This window comes from Homo sapiens, chromosome 19 (assembly GCF_000001405.40).
Source record: "Homo sapiens chromosome 19, GRCh38.p14 Primary Assembly".
Classification (NCBI taxonomy): Eukaryota; Metazoa; Chordata; class Mammalia; order Primates; family Hominidae; genus Homo; species Homo sapiens.
The window spans coordinates 20,950,768-20,965,705 of NC_000019.10; the positions used below are offsets into that span (position 1 = coordinate 20,950,768).

The 14,938-nt window shown below is 39.5% G+C and overlaps 1 pseudogene; it reads left to right on the forward strand.

The window, feature by feature from the left end:
* On the forward strand, nt 10,291-12,658 carry KRT18P40 (keratin 18 pseudogene 40; annotated as a pseudogene).

The window sequence follows — 14,938 nt, forward strand, 5'->3', positions numbered from 1 at the left end:
TTGCAAATTTAAAGAGGGTTGTAGTACCTTTAATTGTATCACAAATCTTATTGTACAGATTTTGTACTAGAGGAAACCCCTGAAGCAGTTGCTTAAATTTTGTTTAAAATCAGATTTTTTTTTTTTTCTTTTTGAGACGGAGTTTCGCTCTTGTTACCGAGGCTGGAGTGCAATGGCGCATTCTCGGCTCGCCACAACCTCTGCCTCCCGGGTTCAACCGATTTTCTTGCTTCAGCCTCCTGAGTAACTGGGATTACAGGCATGTGCCACCACGCCTGGATAATTTTGTATTTTTGGAAGAGACAGGGTTTCTCCATGTTGTTCAGGCTGGTCTCAAACTCCTGACCTCAGGTGATCCACCTGCCTCAGCCTGCCAAAGTGCTGGGATTAGAGGCATGAGCCACCACACCTGGCCAACATCAGAGGATTTATATTTGAGAAAAACCCTGCAAATGTAACAAATTTTGAAAAACTTTTTCAAAAACTACAGCTTAAAAAGCAGCAGAGGATTCATACTAAAATATATTTTTGCAGATGCAGTAGATATAAAAATATATTTAATCCAAAGTTAAGTTTATGTAAATATCAGAGGATTCACAGTAGAAATATCTAAGGTGCTGGCACTTCAGACACCACACTAAATCAGAGTGCTGAGTATAGAAAATAATCCAAAACTAAATTTGGTGGATTAATTATTTGTATATAACTTTAAAAGAAGTAGAACTTTTTTTGCAGAGTTTTAATTACATTCAAAGTATACTTTTTTCCTTAAAAAAGTTAGGTTTTTTTGAAAAGAAAATAATCATGTCATTCAACTTTCAAATTACTTCATGCTCTTTCTTCTTCATTGCTATTATATTCACATGTGAAAGCATGTGATCAGTGGTTGCTACATCAAAGATAGGAGATTTTTTTTTCTTAGGTCATTATTTATGACCTTTTCTATTAAAGAATAAGAACATTAGGCTGGGCGCAGGGCTCATACGTATAATCCCAGCACTTTGGGAAGCTGAGACAGGCAGATCATGAGGTCAGGAGTTTGAGACCAGCCTGGCCAATATGGTGAAACCCCATCTATTAAAAACTACAAAAATTAGCTGTCCACTGTGGCACGCACCTGTAACCCCAGCTACTCGGGAAGCTGAGGCAGGAGAATCACTTGAACCCAAAAGGCAGAGGTTGCAGTGAGCCGAGGTCGCACCACTCCACACTAGCCTGGGCAACAGAGCAGGACTCTATCTCAAAAAAAAAAAAGTATACTATTCTTTTTTTTTCTTTATTTATTTTATTTTTTATTTTTTTATTGATCATTCTTGGGTGTTTCTCGCAGAGGGGGATTTGGCAGGGTCATAGGACAATAGTGGAGGGAAGGTCAGCAGATAAACAAGTGAACAAAGGTCTCTGGTTTTCCTAGGCAGAGGACCCTGCGGCCTTCCGCAGTGTTTGTGTCCCTGGGTACTTGAGATTAGGGAGTGGTGATGACTCTTAACGAGCATGCTGCCTTCAAGCATCTGTTTAACAAAGCACATCTTGCACCGCCCTTAATCCATTTAACCCTGAGTGGACACAGCACATGTTTCAGAGAGCACAGGGTTGGGGGTAAGGTCATAGATCAACAGCATCCCAAGGCAGAAGAATTTTTCTTAGTACAGAACAAAATGAAGTCTCCCATGTCTACTTCTTTCTACATAGACACAGCAACAATCTGATTTCTCTATCTTTTCCCCACCTTTCCCCCTTTTCTATTCGACAAAACCGCCATCGTCATCATGGCCCGTTCTCAATGAGCTGTTGCGTACACCTCCCAGACAGGGTGGCGGCCGGGCAGAGGGGCTCCTCACTTCCCAGAAGGGGCGGCTGGGCAGAGGCGCCCCCCCACCCAACTTCCTGGACGGGGCGGCGGCCAGGCGGAGGCGGGCCCCCCACCTCCCTCCCGGACGGGGCGGCTGCCGGGCGGAGACACTCCTCACTTCCCAGACGGGGTGGCTGCCGGGCGGAGGGGCTCCTCACTTCTCAGACGGGGCGGCCGGGCAGAGACGCTCCTCACCTCCCAGACGGGGCCGCGGCCGGGCAGAGGCACTCCCTGCATCTCCGACGATGGGCGGCCGGGCAGAGACGCTCCTCACTTCCTAGACGGGATGGCGGCTGGGAAGAGGCGCTCCTCACTTCCCAGACTGGGCAGCTGAGCAGAGGGGCTCCTTACATCCCAGACGATGGGCGGCCAGGCAGAGCCGCGCCTCACTTCCCAGACGGGGTGGCAGCCAGGCAGAGGCTGCAATCTCGGCACTTTGGGAGGCCAAGGCAGGCGGCTGGGAGGTGGAGGTTGTAGCGAGCCGAGATCACGCCACTGCACTCCAGCCTGGGCAACATTGAGCACTGAGTGAACGAGACTCCGTCTGCAATCCTGGCACCTTGGGAGGCCGAGGCTGGCGGATCACTCGCGGTTAGGAGCTGGAGACCAGCCCAGCCAACACAGCGAAACCCCGTCTCCACCAAAAAAATACGAAAACCAGTCAGGCGTGGCAGCGCACGCCTTCAGTCGCAGGCACTCGGCAGGCTGAGGCAGGAGAATCAGGCAAGGAGGTTGCAGTGAGCCGAGATGGCAGCAGTACAGTCCAGCTTCGGCTCGGCATCAGAGGGAGACCGTGGAAAGAGAGGGAGAGGGAGACCGTGGGGAGAGGGAGAGGGAGAGGGAGAAGGAGAAGTACACTATTACGTATGCTCCAGCCTGGGTGACAGGGCGAGACTCCATCTCAAAAACAAAAAAGGAGCGCACCAGCATGGCACATGTATACATATGTAACTAACCTGCACAATGTGCACATGTACCCTAAAACTTAAAGTATAATAAAAAAAAAGAAAAAAATAACCATTGTACCACCAAAAAAAAAAAAAAGAATAAGAACATTAAAACGTAAGATGCATGATGAAAATCTAAGTGGTGGGGCTCTTTGTGGTTAACATAATATTGAGTGATATATGAGGTGGTTGTTTAGAGTAATATTCTTCTGCATTATAGTAAATGAAAAACATTTTTAATATTAGTTAAAATTAGTAATATATTATTTTACTAATTATATTTCTATGTAATAAAATGCAGTACGTTTTTAAATTTTCAGACTACATGTAAACTTAGTTTTATAATTAAACTTTTTTAAACATATTATGATCATTGTGCATTCAACGATGCGTTGTGATGCCACTAAGTTTAACCTATCTACCGTACTCAAGAATGTAGTTAAAAGATGGTTACAGTGTGCAGGTTGGTAACATAATGAACTAACATCTCTTTTGCCAGTGGCTTTAAACTGCAAATAGGTTAAAGAATATTGTTCTTGTAGGTTAAATTTTTATTCTTTTTTTCTTATATGAACTTATTTTTAAAAATTTTTGTGAGTACATAGTATGTGTATATATTTATACCATATATAGAATATTTTGATACAGGCATATAATATGTAACAATCACATCAGGGTAAGTGAAGTATCCATCACCTCCAGCATTACCCTTTGTATTACAAACCTATTCTACACATTTAGTTCTTTTGAAATGTGCAATTGTTATTGGTTACAGTAACCAATTTGCATGGAATGTCTATTTCCATCTGGCCACTTTGGCAAGTGGCAAGATTTTGGTCATGATTTTGTTTTATGGTCATAATAAGAATTGTATAGAAGTATTAATAAAATCCATACATTTCTGAATTCTGAATAAACATTTAAAAATTTGTTAATATTTTTCTTTAAACATGTGGTCTTACTGCCTGCAAACACATACAGACTCTTAATTTTTATTTACATAGATGTAAATATACACATATATTACTCTAAAGATAAACCTTAAGGGTAAGAAAATTATAAAGTATGTGTGTTTTTGTGAATATGAATTTGTACCTATATTCAGAAGAAAAGAGCAATATTGGCACAAAACAAATCATCTTAATAAGGTAACTAATTGGCTGTGTGCAGTGGCTCACGCCTGTAATCGCATCACTTTGGGAGGCTGAGGCGGGTGGATCACCTGAGGTCAGGAGTTCGAGACCAGCCTGACCAATATGGTGAAACCCCATCTCTACTAAAAATACAAAAATTACCTGGGTGTGGTGGTGTGCACCTCTAGTCCCAGTTACTCAGGAGACTGAGACAAGAGAATTGCTTGAACCCAGGATTTGGAGGTTGCAGTGAACTGAGATTATGCCACTGCACTCCAGCCTGGGTGAAAGAGTAAGACTCATCTCAAAAAAATAATAAGGTAACTAGTTTACTAGAAAACTGAATACCTCAAAAATGCTGAAAACAAATGTATACTGTCTGCTTTGTGTTAAATTTATTACTGTAATATCTTATGGTTTATAGTTCAGAATCTTCCCATGCAAATATTTTGTTTTGACTTGCCTGATACTCATGCTGGACCTATAATTTTCTTTTTTTTATAATTTTTTTTATAGTTTCTGAGGCATTATGTGAGCTTGTCAGGGATTATAATGCTTTTATAAAATTTAGTAGTGCACACAAAATAATATTTATATGTAATTCCAAAATTAGTCTATCAAGTTATATTTTATTTTCTTAGAACATTTCATTTGTTCTTTTAATTGGAGAACTCTTTAAACCTGCTTTAGTTGTTGTTCTTTTCACTTTTTATAATTGAAATAACTATATTTATTTATTGAGCCAATTTTTTTTTCAGGTAAATACTAAGGATGCTTTATAAGTCATGAGGATGTTTTTATATATAAATATAGCAAACAAACATGAGAGTGCTTGCTGTGTAACAAATGCTGCATAACAAGCTATAAATATTCCTGCTGAAGTTAGTTTGTAACTTCAAGTCAGAGATGGAAAATATCAATGGTGAAAAAATAATATTGATTTTTCATGTTAAAAAGACACTTTTTCCAGGCTACAAAACTAACTCTTGCTGAATTTGAAGAGAAATTCTTCTTCCTTTATTTTCTAAGTATCTTTTGTTTTATTATGTGTATTCCAGCTATGTATGCATCACAGCCCTTCTCCTTCTTTTTCAGTATTATATCTATGGTTTTCTCATTGTTGTCTTTATGCCATGTCATTTTACATGGTACTTTGTAGGTTTTGATGAGAAAGTTGGTATTTTTTTAATGTACTAAAAAATTAGTTTTAACTGGAGAGTTTGTCAATACAACTTTCAGATCAGTTAATTAAGATAAAAGGCATTCAGTATCCACAGGTGAGAGGAATAAGTCAGTTAGTTTTCTTTTTTTCTGCTTGTAAAAGAAAAAAAATCTTACACAAAGTGTGGCAAATATTTGCTAAAAAATATATCTCAGAAATTAAATTTTTAAGAAAGCTAATGGTGAGTGAAATTTTTTAAATTTAATTTTCTATGATATAGCACAACTTAACGTTTCCGTGCAGAATCTTCTATTTTTAAGTGTGAATGTTAAAGTTTGTAAAATAATAAAATGACCTCTGTGGATTTAAAATTTGGAATAATATTTCTTTTTTATATTGATATTACAATTTGAAAAAATCTCTCAGTCTTATATAATTTTTTTAGTGGGTGAAGTTCAGTCTAGAGTTTCTATTCTTTGTCACATAACTGTAGCCAACTTATTGATCATTTTCTCTGTAAAACTTGGAGATCATGACAGCTTTTGGATTGAAACATATCCTATTAGTTTGCTCACAAACTTGTTTACTGTGTTCGAAGAGTGGCCAGTCATGAGACCAAAGCAACAACTGCCCTTTTAGTGTCTTTTATGCAGTTATTATCTGTAATAAATAAATATTTATTCTGTAAAACATGAATTTTGAAGTGTGTATACATTGTCAAATGTTTAATTCTAGGTAATTAATGCTTTACCTCACATAGTTAACATTTTTTGTGGTGAGAGCACGTGACATAGTCTTAGCACTTTTCAAAAATACAAATACATTATTAGGAACTATAGCCACCATGCTGTAGAAAAAATCTTTTGAAATTATTTCTCCTATTCAAGTATAATTATGTATTTTTTGACTGACGTCTTTCCAAACCCCCCTTCTAAATACCTTGGTATCTGGTGGTCACCATTTTACTTTCTACTTCCATGAGATTACGTTTTTTGAGGATCCGTGTGTAAGTAAAATTATGAAATAATCTTTCTAGGCCGGGTGCGGTGGCTTACATCTCTAATGCCAGCTCTTTGGGAGGCCGAGGCGGGCAGATCACAAAGTCAGGAGTTTGAGACCAGCCTGGCCACTGTGATGAAACCCCATCTACTAAAAATACAAAAAGTAGCTGGGCATGGTGGCGGGTGCCTGTAGTCCCAGCTGAGGCAGGAGAATCGCTTAAACCTGGGAGGCAGAGGTTGCAATAAGCTGAGATTGCACCACTGCACTCCAGCCTGGGCAACAGAGCAAGACTCTGTTGCAAAAATAATAATAATCTTGATGTGCCTGGCTTATTTCAGGTAATGTAATCCATCTGACTGAAAATAATAGAATTTTCTTTTTTGAAGGTGAGTAGTATTCCATTGTTTAAATATATCATACTTTTTTTTTTTTCTTTTTGAGTCAGAGTGTTTCTCTGTAGCCCAGGCTGGAGAGCAGGGGTGCAATCTCGGCTCACTGCAACCTCCCGCTAACTAACTTTTATATTTTTAGTAGAGATGAGTTTTCACCATATTGGCCAAGCTGGTCTTGAACTCCTGACCTCAAGTGATCCACCCGCCTCGGCCTCCCAAAGTGCTGAGATTACAGGCATGAGCCACTGTCCCCAGCCTACTATATTGTCTTTATTTACTCATTTGATGTTAAACTGTTGATTCTATATTTTGACAATTGTAAAGAGTGTTGCAAACAACATAGAAGTGCAAATTTTTTTTATTCTGATTGTTTTGGATATATATCCAATATTACAATTGCTGTATTATATGATAGTTTTAAATTTTTTGAGACTTCTCTATTTTTTATTTATTTATTTTTGTTTGTTTGTTTGTTTTGAGATGGAGTTTCACTCTTGTTGCCAGGCTGGAGTGCAATGGCATGATCTCGGCTTACCGCAACCTCTGCCTCCCAGGTTCAATCAATTCTCCTCCCTTAGCCTCCCGAGTAGCTGGGATTACAGGCATGCACTACCACGCTTGGCTAATTTTGTATTTTTAGTAGAGACAGGGTTTCTCCATGTTGGTCAGGCTGGTCTCGAGCTCCAGACCTCAGGTGATCCACTTGCCTCGGCCTCCCAAAGTGCTGGGATTACAGGCATGAGGCACCGTGCTCGGCCTATTTTATTTTTATAAAGGCTGTTCTCATTTACACTCAAACCAACAATATGCAAACATTCTTTTTCCTTTTTCTTTTTCTTTTTTTTTCAAGACGGAGTCTCGCTCTGTTGCCCAGGCTGGAGTGCAGTGGCAATCTCGGCTCACTGCAAGTTCCGCCTCCCAGGTTCACGCCATTCTCCTGCCTCAGCCTCCCGAGTAGCTGGGACTACAGGCACCCGCCACCACGCCTGGCTAATTTTTTGTATTTTTAGTAGAGATGGAATTTCACTATGTTAGCCAGGATGGTCTGGATCTCCTGACCACGTGATCCACCCACCTCAGCCTCCCAAAGTGCTGACATTACAGGCGTGAGCCACTACAGCCGGCCCCCAAGCATTCCTTTGTCTTCACACCTTTACTAATTTTTTTCTTTTTAATAAGAGTTATTCTAACAAGTGAGTTGATATCATAGTTTTTTCTCTTTTTTTTTTGCTTTTCCTGGTAATAATTGATACTGATTATTTTTTATATCTCTTGCCTATATGTCTTTTTTGAAAAATAAGTCTTTAATTCATTTTTAATATTATTTTTTATTCTATAATTGAGTTTCTTATATATTTTGATATTAAACCCTTGTCACATGTATAATTTGTACATATTTTCTCCCATTTTTTAGTTTTCTCATCCTGTTGATTGTATCAGATTCTGTGCAGCAACTTTTTAATTTGAAGTAATCTGACTCCTCTAATTTTTCTTTGGTTCCCTGGGATTCTGAGATTAAATTTTAGAAAGTCACTGCCCAGACCAATGTTATGGGGCTTTCACTGTATATTTTTTGTAGTAGTTTCATAGTTTCAAGCCTTACATTTAAATATCTAATTTACTTTAAGTTGATTTTTATATATGGTGTGAAATGAGGGTCTCATTTTATTGCTCTGCATGTGGCTATACAGTTTTCTCAACATCATTTATTGAAGACATTGTCATTTCCCTAAAAGATTGTCACCTGTTAATATAATCAGCTGTAAGTAAATGAATACATTTCTCATTTCTCTCTTCTGCTCCACTGGCCTATGTGTCTTTTTTTATTGCAGTACCATACTGTTTTGGTTACTATAGCTTTGTAGCATATTTCAAAGCCAGGTAGGGTAATACATTCAGCCTTTTTTGTTTTGTTTGATCGCTTTTGCTACTCAGGGTCTTCTGCAGCACCATATAAATTTTAGATAGATATTTTTAAATTCCTATGATGTTTGTCACTGGTATTTTGATAGAAGTTGCATTATATTTGTATATCATTTTGTATAATGTAGGTATTTAACAATATTAATGCCAATTCATAAATATTTTCATTTGTGTATTATTTATTACTTTAATATTCTTTAGATTATAATGTAAGGTGTTTCAACTTTTTGGTTACATTTATCTCAAAGTGTAGTTACTACAGTTATTGTAGATAGGATTGTTTTTTAATTTTATTTTGAGATAGTTAATTGTTTACAAAAATGCCACTGACTTTTGCATGTGGATTTTTTATTCTGTAAATTTAATGAATTTATTAGTTTCTAGTAGTTCTTAGTAAAGTCTTAGGCTTTCCTATACTTAAGATTATGTCTTCTACAAATAGTAATAATTCAACTTTTTTTTCCAATCTGGATGCCTTTGATTTTATTCTCTAATTTCTCTGTCTTGGACATTTCGTACTATGTTTAGCAAGACTGAAGAAAGTGGGCATCCTTGTCTTGTTCTAACTTTCAGAGTAAAAGCTTACAACTTTTCCCTGTTTAGTATGCTGTTTCCTGTGCACTTTTTGTTATATGTGGCATTTATTGGCTTCAGGTGCATTTTTCCTATACTTAATTTTTTCAGAGATTTATCATTAGGGAATGTGTTAAACTTTTGTTCTGCATCTATTTAAATGTTGAGTTGTGAAATCACAGCTAACTCCACATAAATACAAAACATCCTCAGAGACTACTATGAACATCTCCATGCATGCGAAGTAAAAAATTTACAGGAAATAGATAAACTGGATACACACAACCTCTCAAGATTGAACCAGAAAGAAGCAAACATCTTGAACACAGCAAAAATTAATAAAATGTATAATGAAATTATAAATTTAGCAATAGAAATTATACATTATATTATAGAATAGTAATAGAAATCATACATTAGTAATAGAAATATATACATTGGTAATAGAAAACCCGCGAACCATGAATAGCCCTAGATCAGATGAATTCACAACTAAATTCTACCACATATACAAAGATGAACCAGTACTAATCCTCTGAATGTACTCCAAAAATCAAGGTGGGATTTCTTCCTAACTATATAAAACCAGTATCACCTTGATATCAAAATCTAGTGAAGACACAACAACAACAAAAACTATAGGCCAATATTTTGGGTGATCATTAAAACAAAAGTTCTCCATAAAATACTAGCAAGCTGAGTTCATAATCAAATCAAAACGTTATTTTACCACAATCCTGGGAGATTTACTTCATGAATGCAAGGATGTTTCATCATATATAAGTCAATAAATGTGATTCATCAGGTAAAGATGATTAAAAGCTAACATGATTATCACAATAGATACAGAAAAGGCATTCAAAAAATCCAATACCTATAAAAATATTCTCAACAAACTAGGTATTAAAGAAACATCTCAAAATAGTAAAGCCATCTGTGACAAATCTGCAGCTGAAATCATGCTGAACAGGCAAAAGCTGGATGAACTCTCCATATGAATAAAAATAAGACAAGAATATCCACTCTTAACACTCGTATTCAACATAGTTCTGGAAGTCCTAGCTAGAGCAATTAAACAAGATAAAGAAATAAAAGAGATCTAAATAAGAAAAGAGAAAGTCAAATTATTCTCACAGATGATATAATTCTCTACCTGGGAAACTTTGGAGATGCCACAAAAAGACCCCTAAGCCTAAAAAATGACTTAAGCAAAGTCTCAGGATACAAAATTAACATACACAAATGAGTAGCATTTCTGTACATGAATAACATTCAAGCTGAGAACAAAATAAAAAACACAGTTCTGGTCGTCAGCAAAGCCTGAGTCCTGTCCTCTTGCTCTCCTCCCTGGACAGCATAAGCTTCACCACTCGCTCAACCTTCACCAATTACCAGTCCCTGGGCTCTGTCCAGGTGCCTGGCCAGTCAGCAGCACAGCCATCATCTATGCAGGCATGGGGGGTTCTGGTTCCAGGATCTCCGTGTCCTGCTTCACCAGCTTCAAGGCCCATGGGGTTCAGGGGCCTGGCTGCGGGGATAGCCAGGGGTCTGACAGGAATGGGAGGCATCCAGAACGAGAAGACCATGCAGACCCTGAACTACTGCCTGGCCTCCTACCTGGACAGAGTGAGGAGCCTGAGGACCAAGAACCGGAAGGTGGAGAGCAAAATCTGGGAGCACCTGGAGAAGATGGGACCTCAGGTCAGAGACAAGCCATTACTTCAAGACCATCAAGGACCTGAGGGCTCAGATCTTCACAAATACTGTGGACAATGCCCACATCGTTCTGCAGATCGACAGTGTCCGTTGTGGGGAAAAGAAAGAGAGATCAGATTGTTACTGTGTCTATGTAGAAAAGCAAGATAGAAGAAACTCCATTTTGATCTGTACTAAGAAAAATTGCTTCTGCTTTGAGATGCTGTTAACCTGTAACTTTAGCCCCAACCCTGTGCTCACAGAAACGTGCGTAATGAATCAAAGTTTAATGGATTTAGGGCTGTGCAGGATGTGCCTTGTTAACAATATGTTTGCAGGCAGTATGCTTGGTAAAAGTCATTGCCATTTTCCATTCTAAATTAACCAGGGACACAATGCACTGTGGAAAGCTGCAGGGACCTCTGCCCAAGAAAGCCTGGGTATTGTCCAAGGTTTCCCCCCACTGAGACAGCCTGAGATATGGCCTCATGGGAAAGGAAAGACCTCACCATCCCCCAGCCTGACACCCATAAAGGGTCTGTGCTGAGGATTAGTGAAAGAGGAAGGCCTCTTTGCAGTTGAGATTAGAAGAAGTCTTCTGTCTCCTGCTCATCCCTGGGAATAGAATGTCTCAGTGTAAAGCTGGCCATTCCCATTCATTCTCTTCTGAGATAGGAGACAACCGCCCTGTGGCTAGAGGCAAGATATGCTGGCAGCAGTACTGCTCTGTTGCTGTTTGCTATACTGAGATGTTTGGGTAAAGAGAAACATAAATCTAGCCTACGTGCACATCTGGACACAGTACCTTTCCTTGAACTTATTCATAATACAGATTCCTTTGCTCACATGTTTCCCTGCTGACCTTCTCCCCACCTGTTGCCCTGTTACACTCTCCTCGCTAAGATAGTAAAAATAATGATCAATAAATACTGAGGGAACTCAGAGGCTGGCGCCAGTGTGGGTCCTCTGTATGCTAAGCACTGGTCCCCTGGGCCCACTGTTCTTTCTCTGTACTTTGTCTCTGTGTCTTATTTCTTTTCTCAGTCTCTCATCCCACCTGACAAGAAATACCCACAGGTGTGGAGGGGCTGGCCCCCTTCAGTCCATCTTGCTGCTGATGACTTTAGACCCAAGTGTGAGACAGAGCTGGCCATGTGCCAGTCTGTGGAGAGCAACATCCATGGCTTTGCAAAGTCATTGATGACACCAATGTCACTCGGCTGCGGTTGGAGACAGAGATCAAGGTTCTCAGGGAGGAGCTGCTCTTTATGAAGAAGAACCACAAAGAGGAAGTAAAAGGACTACAAGCCAAGGTCGACAGCTCTGGGTTGACCAGGGAGGTAGTTGCCCCCAAAGCTCAGGACCTTGCCAAGATCATGGCAGACATCCAGGCCCAATACGACGAGGTAGCTCAGAAGAACCGAGAGGAGCTGGACAAGTACCAGTCTCAGCAGATTGAGGAGAGTATATAGTGGTCACCACGCAGTCCACCAAGGTTGTAGCTGCTGAGATGATGCTCACAGAGCTTAGATGTACAGTCCAGTCCTTGAAGATCGACCTGGACTCAATGAGAAATCTGAAGGCCAGCTTGGAGAACAGCCTGAGGGAGGTGGAGGCATGTTAAGCCCTGCAGATGGAGCAGATCAACAGGATCCTGCTGCACCTGGAGTCAGAGCTGGTACAGACCCTGGCAGAGGGGCAGTACCAGGCCCAGGAGTACAAGGCCCCGCTGAACATCAAAGTCAAGCAGGAGGCTGAGATCGCCACCTACCACCGCCTGCTGGAAGATGGCGAGGACTTCAATCTTGGTGATGTCCTGGACAGCAGCAACTCCAAGCAAACCATCCAAAAGACCACAACCCGCCAGATGGTGGATGGCAAAATGGTGTCTGAGACCAACAACACCAAAGTTCTCAGACATTAAGCCAGCAGAAGCAGGGTACCCTTTGGGGAGCAGGAGGCCAATAAAAAGTTCAGAGGTAAAAAATAAAAGAACAGAATTCTATTTACAATAGCCAAAAACAAAAAATAACATACTTAGGAATACATTAAACGAAGGAGGTAAAATATCGCTACAAAGAAAACACACTGCTGAAAGAAATCAGACAAAACACAAATAAATGGAGAAGCATTTCATGCTTATGAATTTGAAGATTTAATATAATTAAAATGTCCATGCCACTTAAAGCAACCTGCAGATTTTTATTCCTATCAAACTATCAGTGCCATTTTTATAGAAATAGGGAAAAAAGCTATTCTAAAATTTATATGGAAGAATAAAAAAAGCCAAAATAGCCAAGGCAACATTAAACAAACAAACAAAATAAAACCTGGAGGCCTCGAATTACCTGACTTCAAACTGTGCTACAAGCTACAGTAATCGGTATAACATGGTCGTGGTACAAAAATATACATACAGACTATATTGGTACATTTTTATGCTGCTAATAAAGACACACCTGAGACTGGGTAATTTATAAAAGAAAGGTTTAATTGACTCACAGTTCCATATGACTGGGGAGGCCTCACATTCATGATGGAAGCCAAAGGGAAAGCAAGACATGGCAGCAGGCAAGAGCAAGCATGTGCAGAAGAACTCCCTTTTATAAAACCATCAGATCTTAAAAGACTTATTCACGACCCAGAGAACAGCATGGGAAAAACCCACCCCCATGATTTAATCACCTCCCACCCAGACCCTCCAATGACATGTGGGGATTATTACAATTCAAGGTGAGATTTGGGTGGGGACACAGAGCCAAACCATGTGGAACAGAAGAGAGAGCCCTGAAATAAAGCTACACTCCTACAACCTACTTTTGACAAAGTCAACAGAAATAAAAAGAAAATAACTCCCTATCTAATAAATGATACTGGGAAAACTCGTTAGTCATATGCAGAAGAAGAAAAAAAACTCTTCCTCCCACCATATAAACAATATATCTCAATATAGTTTAAAGACTTAACTGTGAGACTTCAAGCTATTAAAACTCTAGAAGAACATGCAGAAAGTACTCTTCTAGACACAGGGCTCTAGAAAAAAAATTATAACTAACACCTTAGAAGTTAATGCAACAAAAATAAAAACATGTTGAGGTTGTGGAGAAAAGGGAATCTATATACACTGTTGGTGGAAATGCAAATTAATTCAGCCCCTGTAGAACACAGTTTGAAGATTTCTCAAATAGCTAAAAATAGAATAGCTATTTGGCCCATTAATCGAATTACTGGGTATATACCCAAAGAAAAAATTATTTTACCAAAAAGACACTGGCACTCACATGTTTACTGCAGCACTATTCACCATAAAAAAAGACAGAATTAAAGTAGGTACCCATGAATCTTAGATTCATGTTCTTTGTTAATTTGCTTAGAATAAAGGCCTTCTGCCAGCTTGGAGGACAGCCTGAGGGAGGTGGAAGCCCACTATGCCCTGCAGATGGAGCACCTCAATGGGATCCTGCTGCACCTGTAGTCAGAGTTGGCACAGGTCCAGGCCCAGGAGTACAAGGCCCTGCTCAACATCAAAGTCAAGCAGGCCCAGGAGTACAAGGCCCCGCTGAACATCAAAGTCAAGCAGGAGGCTGAGATCACCACCTACCGCCGCCTGCTGGAAGATGGCAAGGACTTCAATCTAGGTGATGCCCTGGACAGCAGCAACTCCATGCAAACCATCAAAAAGACCACCACCCGCCAGAGAATGGATGGCAAAGTGCTGTCTGAGACCAATGACACCAAATTGAGACATTAAGCCAGCAGAAGCAGGGTACTCTTTGGGGAGCAAGAGGCCAATAAAAACTTCAAAGGTCAAAAAAAAAAAAAAAAGAATAAAGGCCTTCTGCTGCATCCATGTTGCTGCAAAGAACATCTTTTTCTGTGGTTTCTTAGTATTGCACGGTATATACGTATTTCAGATACTACATGTTCTCACTTATAATTGGGTGCTAAACATTGGGTGAACATGGAAACAATAAATGCTGGGAGTTCTTAAAAAAACTGCCAAGACCAGCATTGAAAAACTACTTATCAGGTATGAGGTACACTACTTGGACAATGGAATTATTAAGTGCCCAAACTTCGACATCAGGCAGTATACTTATGTTACAAATCTGCCCATGTACCCTCATGAATCTAAAATAAAAATAATAAAATGCTTTGTGGTATAATGGCATGTTATATTTCTCCAGTTCTGGGTTAATAGTTGAAATTAGGAGTGAAAGACACAGAATTATGTCCGTTTTGGGTACAGAGGTGAATGT